Source organism: Homo sapiens, chromosome 11 (assembly GCF_000001405.40).
Source record: "Homo sapiens chromosome 11, GRCh38.p14 Primary Assembly".
Taxonomy (NCBI): domain Eukaryota; kingdom Metazoa; phylum Chordata; class Mammalia; order Primates; family Hominidae; genus Homo; species Homo sapiens.
In genome coordinates, this window is record NC_000011.10 from 24,983,508 (window position 1) to 24,997,648 (window position 14,141).

Consider the following 14,141-nt stretch of genomic DNA (forward strand, 5'->3'; position numbering starts at 1 on the left):
GATTCTTAGGCAGAATCATCTAATTGTTTAACACAAAACAAAAACTAATAATGTTGGAATAAGTTAAAAGAGAATATCTTGTATTACATTGAAATAAACATCACAGGTTTGATATGGGGAATATTTTCTTCTGGGGCACAAGTATCTTCAGAAAGGTAAATCATTTTTTTTTTCTTAAGTCCACAACTCTCAACACTGGCTGCACATTAGAATCTTAGTGTAAATATTTTTAAAAGTGTGTTTAGGTGTATTTACATTAAAAAAAAGCCTTACTCCTGGGGTTTTTTTTCCCAGACCTATTAAATTAGATTTTTTTTTTTTGAGTTAGACTCCAGTTATCAGTAATTTTTCAAAGTCCCAGGGGATTTTAAGGTGCGTTCAAGTTTAAGGACAACTCATTTGAGCAAATCTTCCTCCAAATTCCCTCCACCAACCTACTTTAGACAAAACAAAGAACATTTAATGGTGCTTTTGTTTCAATCTTCAAAAACTTCAATTTGTAGGCCCTACATACATTGAAATAAATCCTGAGAGCCAGAAATAATCTTTGGGGGAGGGAGTTTTGTTTTGGGCAGTATGTTGGAAAGATCTAGTTCTCTGATCACTTGTCTGAGCATCACTTGTTATTAAAATGAGTGCTATGGATACCAGCCTGACTTCTAAATGCAAATCTCAAGGGTTGAGTGCAGAAAAACTTAAGAACCACTAATGCAAATACCTAATGATGTGTTACATCTGGCTTTCTTACTGCTTACTTCTGAGATTTCCTATTTTTGAATTAAAGTGGGTAGATTAGGGAAATGCTATTTTCAGGATGGAGAGTCATAAATAATAGAATGAAGTAAATCTTCTGATATACTGTTTTTATGTGTAACTAGTCAACTTATGAACTACAAAGATTTAGTCTGTATGAGATCCTTATGTAATATTAATGTTTCTCTTTTAAAAATTATTCAAAACAATGTATTCAACTATATTATATTATTGTCTGTGTTTTTATATGTAAATTACATATTTTATATATATATATATATATATATATAATTGTGAATTTTAAAAGCCACAAGTTCACGAAGGGAGGAGTACAAAATTGCAAGGGTTTACTAGAAAAAGGTTAAAAATAATTAATATATCAGTACCCCCACCATTTAAATTTATTGTTTTTATTATGGTGCATACCTGTTACATTCACTGTTAGAACTATAGCTTAAGTTTCTGCTGAGAGTCTTCAACGAAGTCCCTCAGATACCCTTTCATCATTACCCTTTATAAAATCGAGATGCAGGTTTCTCTCTGAGTGAATTATTTCTTACCCTCCCAGTTAGAATTATTTTTTCTTTCCTCAGTGCTTGCTTTGACAGCTGAGTGTTTACTACTCTTGGCCCTTGGTCATCCCTTGAATGTTACCTCTGCCTATGTCTTCCTTCTTCAGAGAGATGTCTGTGCTTAGCTCATTGATCTGTTTAATGTTATTTAGTGTCCAGAATGATGTTTCTAGAAAATTCATTTGAAATACTTGTGGTATACCCTTCTTCTTCTTATAAATTTTCGTATAAATTCTTATAAATTTTACTTATTTGGAATTTAGAAAATTATACATTATTGTTTGTTTAGTGTTTTGTATTCAACTACATTGTTTTTCTTCTATGTACCAGTACTCTGCTAGTAACTAAGACAGCAAATTTCAAGTGACACAGCCCTCAACTTTTGGAGATTGCAGCCTAATTTTCTGCAAGAGACAACAAGAAAACTGCCGGATTTGTTCTTAGTAGTAGATCAGGTCATCTTCTGTTTGTTTCCTTGTTTGTTTTCTAGATACCTGGATACAAACACACAGGAGATGACGTATCTTTTATGTCTTTGTTATGATATTATATATTTGTTATGTAGAAAATAATATTCTTTCGAATATATAAAAAGTCAAGGTAGAAACCAGGGGATCTGATCTGCATTTTGCGTAAAACGACCCCAACTCCCAAACTAAAGTAGAAACAAATAAACCATGTGACAATCTTCTGACCTATGTAGGAGAGGATGGTGACCTACTTTATGTCACCAACACTGAAAATAGTATTCGAAATGTTATTGAGTCATAATAATTGTCATGACCTAGTGACTAAATGGGAAGCATGAAGGCAGGAAATCAAGAATAAAAGTCCTTGCATTCATTCACTATGATGTAAAGGGCAAGAGGAGGTTTTAAAAGGGAAGCCAAACTGGTTTGTTTCTAACCTGCTATGTTTTGGGTTTCTGTCATAAAACCAAGTGCCCGTATCCAGTAGATGATTATGTATTTAAATCTGGAACTGAGGGAAGACATCTGAATAAGGATATTAGATTAGATATCATCACAATGAATAGGGTTAAATATTGGAAATAAATAAAATTACCTGAAGAGACAGTATGGAGTGAAAAGAGATGAGGTCTGCAAAGTCACTAGACATGAGAAGTAACATGAGTATGGTTTTGTGTGTAAGCTAACAGAGGGAATGTTTATGACAAAAGTGCATTTATTCCCATTATTTTGCTGAGATACTCTCTAATGTATATTTAAGCTGAGAGCCATGACTTTTCTATGTCTATTTTGCTATTGCAAAAAATAGAGCATGCATGTCACTGTGTTTATTCAGAATGATAAATACTCCAGTGGTCTGTTGGAGCTGGCTTATACATGCTTGCAAAAGTTGACTGTTAAATTTACAGAATTTGTACTATTCAACTGTTAAATACAGGCATTATTAAATATTATATTATATATACTTACAATTAAATAAATTCTACCAATGGCAATGTGGTAAATACCAAAGCTACTATATAGTGCCATAATCTGTGCTGTTCAGGATATTGTATATTTTGAATCTGTATAGTGGAAATACTATATAATAGTATACTACTGTATATCTCTTTGCAATTTGTGTTCAATGACATCATGTTATCAGATTGAAATTGGTAACATTTATACTGTAGAAATTGACTAACACTATAAATCAGGGTCCTCCTAACCCACAGAGCTAGTGAATAGCATGCCTCTGTGTGTGTGTGTGTGTGTGTGTGTGTGTGTAACATTTAAGATAGGATTACTTGGCATTATAGATAATATACAAAAAAAGTGACTAACATTTTTTCTACTGCTATGTGGTAGAGCTAGATGCACAGTAGTGCTCAGAAAAGGCAAATTAATAAACAAAAAGGCTTGTGTAATTAATAGCATTCTGAAAAAACTCACTTTGTATATCTATTGCAATATTTAATTATATTCATTTTTTATAAAATATATGCTTTATAGAATTTGGAAAAAATAAATATAAAAGGAAGAACAGAAAACATATCACCAAGAATCCTACCACTTTTAGTTTAAAAGATATGAATTAATACACAGTAATATGTTTGGTGTTTATATTTGCATAATAGAACGTTTAAGAGGTAGGATTCATTAGTCAGACTAAGTAAAAATCTCTTTTCTGCTATTTTTTAATTTTAATACCTTGATCAAATTACTTAACTTTTCTAAGACTCATCTTTCGTGTCTATTAAACGGAGATAATTACAGCACCAACCTTAGAAAGTTGTTGAGGAGATCAAATACAAAAATTCACATAAAACATTAGCATATGTTGTGGTGCCTGACACACATAAAGCAGTCAATAAATACGTGAAACAAGTATTAGGATCTCTTAAAGCCAGGATAACATGAAAACACCTGAAGAAAATTTTTAGTGGGATGTTACTTTAACTTTGAATAAAGCTACACTATTTACATTGTATTATTTTTCAAGTGTTAGAATACATTAATTCAAATAAGTGTAACTTCAGTTTTTTATCATAAAAGTATAGCAGAATCCTTACAATCCATTTAGTGTCAGGGATCATAATAGTACATGTCATAAAGAAAGGAGAATGTTTAAAGACACCAGAAATGAAAAGCAATTCAGATAAGCAATGCAGATAAACAGCAATGAAACTGTGCTATGAAAACCCATATGTCACGCCATCCCAGGCTATTACTGTTTCTTTTCTTTTTCTTTTCAACTCACTGCCTTAGTTGCAGTTTATATTGTTGAAGGTCACAACTGTGGTATCTACTTAATTGGAAAAGGATGATTTGTTAATTTTTGTTTAAATGTGTTGTAAATGCCAAAGTCTTTCCAGGGCAGGAGGCCCTGGAACGAATGGGGCTCTCTTTAGGAGCTTAAAGACATGCAAGTGAAAACTGCATTTTTCTTGGTGCCTGGAAGTTTAGATAGATCAAGGTACATTTTTCTTTTCCTCTTTTCTGCCAAAAATCTGTTACAAAGTAGTTTTTTAAGAAACCTCAAAACAGTGCACCTGGAATCATCATAAGCCAAGGTTCTGAGCCTAGGCGGCATCTTCAAATTATTATGGGCTTCAAAAATGCTCACACCTGGGTGTCAATACTCCTGATTCTGATACAATTTAGCAGGAGTTTAGGCTAGTTTTGGAGGTTATTCAAAAATCACAGATGATTCTAATTTAGAGCCAAGGTTGAACATGAGTAAGATCCTTATTTTAGAAATGAGAAAGGACTCTAAGAAGTAAGCTTGCCCTATCTCTCTACTTCTCTGCTTCTAGAAGAGATTTCTCAAATAATACAGAGGTGATCAATTTTAAACAGTTCTGTTTTTCCACCTGCTGTCCATCAATCACTAACCATTTAGTTATCTCCAACATCCCATGAACTATCCTCCATGTGAAAGGATGCATGAGGGAGGTGAGATCTCACAGTATGTGTTAAAGCCAATATTTCCTTTTCAACCTCCTTTTAATATTCAAAGCTTATAATACCATTCTGGAAGAAAGAACATGAATAGCATTAGAAGGTAAAATTTTTTTTCAGTGGGAAACAAGAGAGTCTATGTCTAGATATCCCTAATCAAACTCTATTCCCTAGGTTTCTGCAAAGGAAGTTGTAGTTCAGAGATAAAATAATGTTTCCTCACAACTTTCTAAAGGCATCACAGCCAATGTTCTTGTTACTTTATTATGAGACATGTTACTGAATGTTAGAAGAATCTATGGATGTAAAATACCGTGACTATATGCAAAGAGTAATTTAATTAACTATATAAAATATGACTATGTAATGTGGTCCTTTATGAAATAGTGTTAAAGAAGACATGATTATGCATTTTATTATAAGATTCTTTTAACAGCCCTGATAAGCATCAGTATGACCTTAAACTTGAATATGTTTTTCCTGAATCATACATTTAATAACTATGTATTAAGTAATTTGAGTATACAAAGCAATGCTTAGGGATATACGTGCTATATTTCTTTTAGTTACTGTGACTATCCATAAGGACAATATCTTTTTTACATTCAAGAAGCTGGATATCGGAGTTTTAGAAGGTTATCTTCTAGGATTTTTGTATTGTGTTGTGTCCTCCAAGAAGACACAACACAGAATTATATTTGCAAGAGGTTTATTTGGAAAAATGCCTGTGAGAGAAAATAGGGAGGCAGCCATAGGAGGCCGGAAGAGCCATCAGGCCCCAGTGCAGATCTGATCATTCTGGAGCAGTGAGGGAAGAAAGAGGATCTAGATATAAAAAGGCTTAGATTCCTGTGCAGTTAAAAAAAAAAAAAAAGAAAAGAAAAACAACTTTGGCAAATGTCAATGGGAAGCCATCGTATAAAAGTCATCCATCAGATGAGTCCCCATATTTTATGGGAATGGGCTACCTTACTAGCCCTGTTGCATCACATGCGGGGGAAGTCACAGTTTAGCAAATGGGGCTTTCAGTCAATTATGCTCCCCGCAGTGGGAAATCTGAGAGGTTCCATGTTGGTGGACTGTATTTTGCTCATTATGGTGGAACAAATCTCACATTCCTAAAGACTGTCAGTTTCTTGCTAAACTATGGCTTCTACATCTCAGGGAAATATAATGTCTTTAAAATTTAGGATATCTTCATTATTTATTTTGTTTAATAGCTAAAGAAGCTAATGTTATGGGAGACTCACAGAATAGCAAAACTCTGACACTCATGATATCAATTCAAAGGTGTAGCATTAACTGCAGACAGTATAGCTTGCTTCCTATGTGGAGATAGAACAGACAAATATGGACTCTGTGAAAGCCATCCTGATGCTGACATTTCTTTCCTATATCTTTCAGTCAGGAACAAAGCAAAATGAATTATATGAACAACTGGGATACGGTGAAACTGAGCTTGCCAAATTTCTAGATGTCCAGCATTTGGGTTATATTCAAAGAGAATATGCTGGCCCATTTGTTCAAGTCACTAAGCTAAACAATGTAAGGTTAAGATATTTGACCTACGTCATCCAACTAATAGAAAACAAGATTTAAACTAAGGTCTGGTAGTTCTAAAATCAGGTTGTTTTTTTTCTATACTAGTATTGCTAATTATTATAAATATACAAACTAAATTGATTCATTATTTTTCCATCAGTTCCTAATCACTGGGCACCTAAATTGCAATTGTCATCTGTCTCCATTTAATCCTACTTTTAGGTGGGATCATTTAAAATATTGCCACATATTCTCTGATATTCGTCCATCAATATATGGGGTCTATGCCCCCTTTCTTACAATCTGGGCAAGTTTGTAATTATCTGACAATGCTAGCAAAATTACAGATTGTTCATCTCCCCTAAACCTAAATGAATGCACTCAAATTTTACTACCTTTTTCGAGGTAGTTCAGGTTGCTTATATCTAGCATGACTCAAAAGACTATTGAATGGGTTATCCTGAAGTTTTCCAACTGTTTAAACATGCACACACACATACAAACATGTATTTTACAATTTATATATACATATACCTTTATAATTTTTGTATATGTTTTATGAATTTTATATGTAAAATTTAAATTTAACTGCTCCATTTTGTTTTTCAGCAAAGGTTAATTTGAGTCAAGGACAAATCTTTAGATTTTGAACATAATCTTGTCTCACTGATGGGGAAAATATATGACTAACCATTGGTAATATATGGTTCAAATATTTACTATTTGTATATACTGCAAAATGATGAATTGAAAGGTAAATGCAGAGATGAAGACTGGAAAACCATTTATATGGGATTCCTTGGTTAATCCTAAGGAAAAATTACAAAACTTCCATTAAAACAGCAACTGGTGAGAACATAGAAGCTGAAAGACAGTAAATAGAGTTGGCACATATTTGGTGATCTTATTAGACAACCTGAGAGTTCAAGATTTTAAAAGACTCATTCGAGTTAGAAATATAAAGAATCTAAATAAAAGTCAAGAATATATATTTTTCAAATCCTTACATAATTCTAGCCTTTTTATTCTATATATATTTTTAACCCCCACCCAACAACCATCACTCATAATGCTGGTGAACTTCTACCCCCCTTTCATGGGTTCATCTCAAATGTCAACTCTTTTTGACTACTTCCTTGAGTTTCTATTGTGTTTAAGCATTTATTTTTATTTATTTTTCCTTTTTAAATTTTTTATTTCCATAGGTTATTGGAGAACAGGTGGTGTTTGGTTACATGAGTAAGTTCTTTAGCAGTGATTTGTGAGATTTTGGTGCACCCATCAACAGAGCAGTATACACTGCACCCTATTTGTAGTCTTTTATCCTTTACCTGCTTCCTACCTTTCCACCTGAGTCCCCAAAGTCCTTTGTATCATTCATATGCCTTTGCATCCTCATAATTTAACTCCCACTTATGAGTGAGAACGTACGATGTTTGGTTTTCCATTCCTGAGTTACTTCACTTAGAATAATAGTCTCAGTTCTCATCCAGGTTGCTGCGAATGCCATTAATTTATTCCTTGTTATGGCTGAGTAGTATTCCATCATATATATGTGTGTGTGTGTATATATATATGTGTGTGTATATATATGTGTGTGTGTGTGTGTGTGTATATATATATATATATATATATTCCATCATATATATACATATATCTCTCACAGTTTCTTTATCCACTTGTTGATTGATGAGAATTTGGGTTAGTTCCACAGTTTGCAATTGCAAATTGTTCTTCTATAAATATGCGTGTGTAACTATCTTTTTCATTTAATGACTTTTTTCCTCTGTATAGGTAGCCAGTAATGGAATTGCTGGATCAAGTGATAGTTATACTTTTAGTTGTTTAAGGAATTTCCACACTGTTTTCCATAGTGGTTGTACTAGTTTACATTCCCGCCAGCAGTGTAGTAGTGTTCCCTGTTCACTGCAACCACACAAACATCTATTATTTTTTGATTTTATGATTATGGCCATTCTTGCAGAAGTAAGGAGGTATTGCATTGTGGTTTTGAATCGCATTTCCCTGATCATTAGTGATGTTGAGCATTTTTTCATATTTGTTGGCCATTTGTATGTTTTCTTTTGGGAATTGCCTATTTATGTTCTTAGCCCACTTTTTGATGGGATTCTTTGTTTTTTCCTTCCTAATTTGTTTGAGTTCATTGTAGATTCTGGATATTAGTCCTTTGTCAGATTTATAGATTGTGAAGATTATCTCCCACTTTGTGAGTTGTCTGTATACTCTGCTGACTGTTCCTTTTGTGGTGCAAAAGCTCTTATCTATTGTGGTTCAGCATTTTTATTGTATTTATATGGCATTTGTGAAAAATTTAACCTTGAGACTCTGCCCTAAATTCCCTGGCTAGCCTGTGAGCTCCTCATAAATACATACATTGGCAAGTTTCCATTGCATCACCAATACTCCAAAAACAGGCTGTAAGAAAATCACACTTAGTGGGATTGAATACTTAAATTGAACTACTAGAATTGGTGAACTAGTCCAGTAAACAGTAGGCAAACATTTATTGTACTCTATTTTGGAAAAGATAATTGTGTGTGTATGTGTCTGTGTCTATGTGTGATGGGGGATGGGTGAACCATTTTACCATGATTTTCTTAGGACTATAAATATGATAAAATACAATAAGGTGGTATTGGCTGCTGGCTGTTTTAATGGAATTAGATTAATTGAATTACCTGAAGCATAAGCTCCATGAAAATAGGCAACTAAGTTTCTTTTGCTCACTAACATATACCAAACTTTCAAAACAATGTGATATACAGAAACTATTCAATTAATATTTGTTGAATGAATAAATGAATTATTTAAAAGGACATGTCAGAGTTACTTCCAGGAAGCATTGCTCCCAATACCTAAAAATTTTCTGACTGAAATACAAATATTTATTTATTTTCCCTGACATCTGCATTTATAATTCATTTTGATGTATAATACTGCTTCCAAGACATTGTGACATACAAGTTGTACTATCTATTTGATGACTTCCCTATTGAATTTATTGTATATCTGTGTTATTACATTTTATGTGAAGTAAAGCACAAATTTAAGCATATTTAATTTAAGTATACATAATGCCAGTTCACAATTCTGGAGCTTCTTGTTCCTTTATCCAGAAATCTTTTCATTATTTGAATTTGAAAATTACCTGAAGTGAAAAGATTCAAAATATACAATTACTTTTTAAGTTTCAAAGAAAATTCTCTGCTTCACAACAATATTTTATTTATGTTTACAACAAATTGAATTCAATATTCTATTGATATATAAATTATCTGAATTTTCAGGGAAATTAGACTCTTGCTAAAAATTAGAAACATGGTAAATTGTAAAGTTAGAATTTGGTATTACCATTATCTGTCTGGAAAACTACAGTTCTTGTCTCTATGCCCCACTACATTGACTGATCTGGCCTGAAAACTTAGGTGATATATAATGGGAGAAAATCAATCCCAGTAAATCTGTTTTACTTTGTTTTCAATTATAAGGAAATTAACAACTATTACATTAAAAAAGAGAAGGTTAAAATGTCATAATGTAAAAGCAGTCAATACCAAAACTCTATCAATGTCATTATTTGGGTTATTTACATCTTTCCTCTAGGTATTCTGCCTCTTGGGAAATATATTAAGGAAATCATAGTTATTGCCAGTCTTGTTTTATCTTTTAGTAAAACATGCTCTCATTTGCTTCTGTATCTCCCAGTTATTACTGGGTAGATAAAACTGTATGATTAATCATATACACAGTTAGAAATATTATATATTCTTAATGAATTCACCCTTTACCATTATGCGATGCCTTTTTTGTGCCTTTTAATGTTTATTGTCCTGATATCTATTTTGCCTAATTTTATGATAGCCACACCAGTTTTTACATCAATAATACTACATCCTTTTCAAATTATTATATTTTATTTTTAAGCTGTGTCTTTGTGCAAATATTTTCTTCCATTCTGGGGGTTGTATTTTCACTTTATTGAAGATTTCATTTGCAGCACAGAAGACACAAGTTTTTAAATTTGATGAAGTCCAATATATTTTTCCATTTCTTTTTTTTGGGGGGGGTGTGGGGGAATAGAGTCTCGCTCTGTTGCCCAGGCTGGAGTGCAGTGGTGCAAACTTGGCTCACTGCAGCCTCCGCCTCCGGGGTTCAAGTGATTCTCCTGCCTCAGCCTCCTGAGTAGCTGGGATTACAGGCACGTGCCAACACGCCCGACTAATTTTTGTATTTTTAGTAAAGATGGGGTTTCACCATGTTAATCAGTCTGGTCTCGAACTGCTGACGTCATAATCTGCCTGCCTCAGCCTCCCAAAGTGCTGGGATTACAGGCTTGAGCCACTGCACCTGGCCCTTTTTTTTTTTTTTTTTTGGCACTTGTGATATTGCTATGTTTAATAAGACTTTGCCTAGTGTGAGGTCATAGATTATCTCCTATTTTTCTATTCAGAGACTTAATTTTAACTCTTACATCTAGGCATATGATTTAATTTGAGTTTACTTCTATATGTTGTATTTGGTAGTGATCAAACTTCATTTGTCTGCATGTGGCATCTTGTTGTTTAAACACCATTTGTTGAAAAGACTTGTTTTATTTCACTGAATTGGCATAATGGCCTGTCTAAATACAGTTGATCATGATGCAAGGGACTGGACTCTCAATTCAGTTCCATTAATCTATATGCCTATCTATCTGACAGTGTTTGCAGTGACTATGGTAGATTTGTAGTGTATTTTAAAATGAGGAAGTGGATTCCTCCAGCTTAGTTCTTTGTATTTAAAGTTTGCTTTGGCTATTCTTGGTCATTGCATTTTTCAAATAAGTTTGAGAATTACCTGCTCAATTTCTAGAAAAACAAATAAAGCTCAGATTTTAAAGGGATGACATTGAGTCTTTAGATAACTTAGGGACTATTATCGTCTTAACAATATTAAATCTTCGAATATTCTATTTTTTCAGGGTGGTAATTTAATCTTTAAAATGTCCTTGCTAGTGTATAAAATACAATTCTTACCACATTTTTAATAAATTGAATATATTGCTTTTCATTTCATCTACACTGCCATTGTCAGTCCTGTATGTAATATTCTATATTCTAGGTGTCATTCTAGGATTTCCCAATAAGCACCTTTGACTTAGCACAATCTACTTTGAAATTATATTATACTGTTATACATTACACAAATAAGAATACCATAAAACGTTTTATTTTCATTTTTCATTGTCATACATTTCAATTGTATAACTGTTATAACCACAAAATAAATTGATATAGGTTTTGCTTTTAAAAATGAATTACAGGCTGGATGTGATGGCTCACACCTGTAATCCCAACACTTTTGGAGGCCGAGGCAGGTGAGCCTTGTCCTTGAGCTCAAGAGTATGAGACCAGCCTGGGCAACACGGCTCAATCCCATCTCTACAGAAAATACAGAAATTAGCTGGGCGTGGTGGTACACGCCTGTAGTCCCAGCTACTTGGGAGGCTGAGGGAGAAGGATGGCTTCAGCAAGGGGGGCAGAGATTGCAGTGAGCACAGATTGCACCACTACACTCCAGACTGGGTGACAGAGCAAGGCCTTGTCCTCAGAAAATAAAAATAAAAAGCTAATAACATATATTTATGCATATGAAATTGAGAAAAAATGCTCTTTTAAGGGGACTCATATTTATCATTTCTGGACTCATCTTTCATCAGTATAAATTTAACTTTTCATGTTACCTCATTTTTTTCTACTTGAAATTATTTCATTTTGCTTTTTAAAGTTTTTTTTTTCTGAATTTAGTAAGCTAGGTTGACAGATTTTTAAATTTAGTAGATTAAAAATGTCACCCCATTGCCTTCTAGCTGGCATAGCTCAGATAATAAATTATGTGATTATCTTTTCCTTTTTGCCTTGTATTTAATATGTATTTTATCTCTGAATGCTTTAAATTTTGTTTTCTTTTTTCAATGGTTATCAGCATGCTCTAAATTCAATTCACAATTGAAAGGTCAATGGTTTGGTTTTCACTTGCTGTTTACTTGTTTCCAGAATTTTCTAGAAAGTCAATTCCAACTCTGATAAGGGAGAAAAAAGTCATTCTAAATTCAGTGTTAGTGCTACATGACCCAATCTTTTTTTTCTACATTACTTATTATTTAAAAATCCAGTAAAATTTTTTGTATAATTCATTTTTATTGTTAATGTTATATTCTTCTATCTATAGGTTCTAATTATTTTTATATATTTTATTTTCTCTTTGTTATTGGTTTCCTCTGCATATTGATTATAAAAATATTATCTATTATAATATATTTAACAACAAATTGTGTATCTGAGTTTTTTTCGGTCATTTTTTATTGAGTGAATTTTCTCCTGATTATCAATCATATTTTTCTTCTTCTTGACATGTTTCATGTTTTTTGACTGGTCATTATTTTATTTAAACTTGGATTTCATTGTTTTCTATTAAATAAATAATACGTTTCTCTCTCTCTCCCTGTTCATATTTCCTCTATCTTTCTCTCTCTCTCTCTCCAATTAACTACTTGTAAAACAGATTCAACTCTCAAGGCATGTTTTTAAATTTTCTAGAATGGATCTAATGTAGCCTTCACTTCATGAATAATTCTTACATTCTATTAAATTATGAAACTTCTGGGGTTTCCACAAAATGCCACAGATTAGAACTAGGATTTTCCATTGTAATTGTCTTCCCACCCTGTGCAACTTCTAAGAATTCTCACGTTACAATTATTCAGATATTATTTTTCTTTTTTCTTTTTTTATTTTATTTTATTTTATTTTATTTTATTTTATTTTATTTTATTTTATTTTATTTTATTATACTTTAAGTTTTAGGGTGCATGTGCACAATGTGAAGGTTAGTTACATATGTATACATGTGCCATGCTGGTGTGCTGCACCCATTAACTCGTCATTTAGCATTAGGTATATCTCCTAAAGCTATCCCTCCCCCTCTCCCCACCCCACAACAGTCTCCAGAGTGTGATGTTCCCCTTCCTGTGTCCATGTGTTCTCATTGTTTAATTCCCATCTATCAGTAAGAATATGCGGTGTTTGGTTTTTTGTTCTTGCGATAGTTTACTGAGAATGATGATTTCCAATTTCATCCATGTCCCTACAAAGGACATGAACTCATCATTTTTTATGGCTGCATAGTATTCCATGGTGTATATGTGCCACATTTTCTTAATCCAGTCTATCATTGTTGGACATTTGGGTTGGTTCCAAGTCTTTGCTATTGTGAATAGTGCCACAATAAACATACGTGTGCATGTGTCTTTATAGCAGCATGATTTATAGTCCTTTGGGTATATACCCAGTAATGGGATGGCTGGGTCAAATGGTATTTCTAGTTCTAGATCCCTGAGGAATCGCCACACTGACTTCCACAATGGTTGAACTAGTTGACAGTTCCACCAACAGTGTAAAAGTGTTCCTATTTCTCCACATCCTCTCCAGCACTTGTTGTTTCCTGACTTTTTAATGATCGCCATTCTAACTGGTGTGAGATGGTATCCCATTGCGGTTTTGATTTGCATTTCTCTGATGGCCAGTGATGGTGAGCATTTTTTCCTGTGTTTTTTGGCTGCATAAATGTCTTCTTTTGAGAAGTGTCTGTTCATGTCCTTCGCCCACTTTTTGATGGGGTTGTTTGTCTTTTTCTTGTAAATTTGTTTGAGTTCATTGTAGGTTCTAGATATTAGCCCTTTGTCAGATGAGTAGGTTGCGAAAATGTTCTCCCATTTTGTAGGTTGCCTGTTCACTCTGATGGTAGTTTCTTTTGCTGTGCAGAAGCTCTTTAGTTTAATTAGATCCCATTTGTCAATTTTGGC

General features: G+C 33.2%; 1 protein-coding gene across 5 annotated transcripts in view; it reads left to right on the forward strand.

Annotated features, from left to right (window-relative positions):
- Positions 1-14,141, forward strand: part of LUZP2 (leucine zipper protein 2) — a 585,586-nt gene that overhangs the window by 486,455 nt on the left and 84,990 nt on the right. The gene's annotated exons all lie outside the window — the stretch shown is intronic.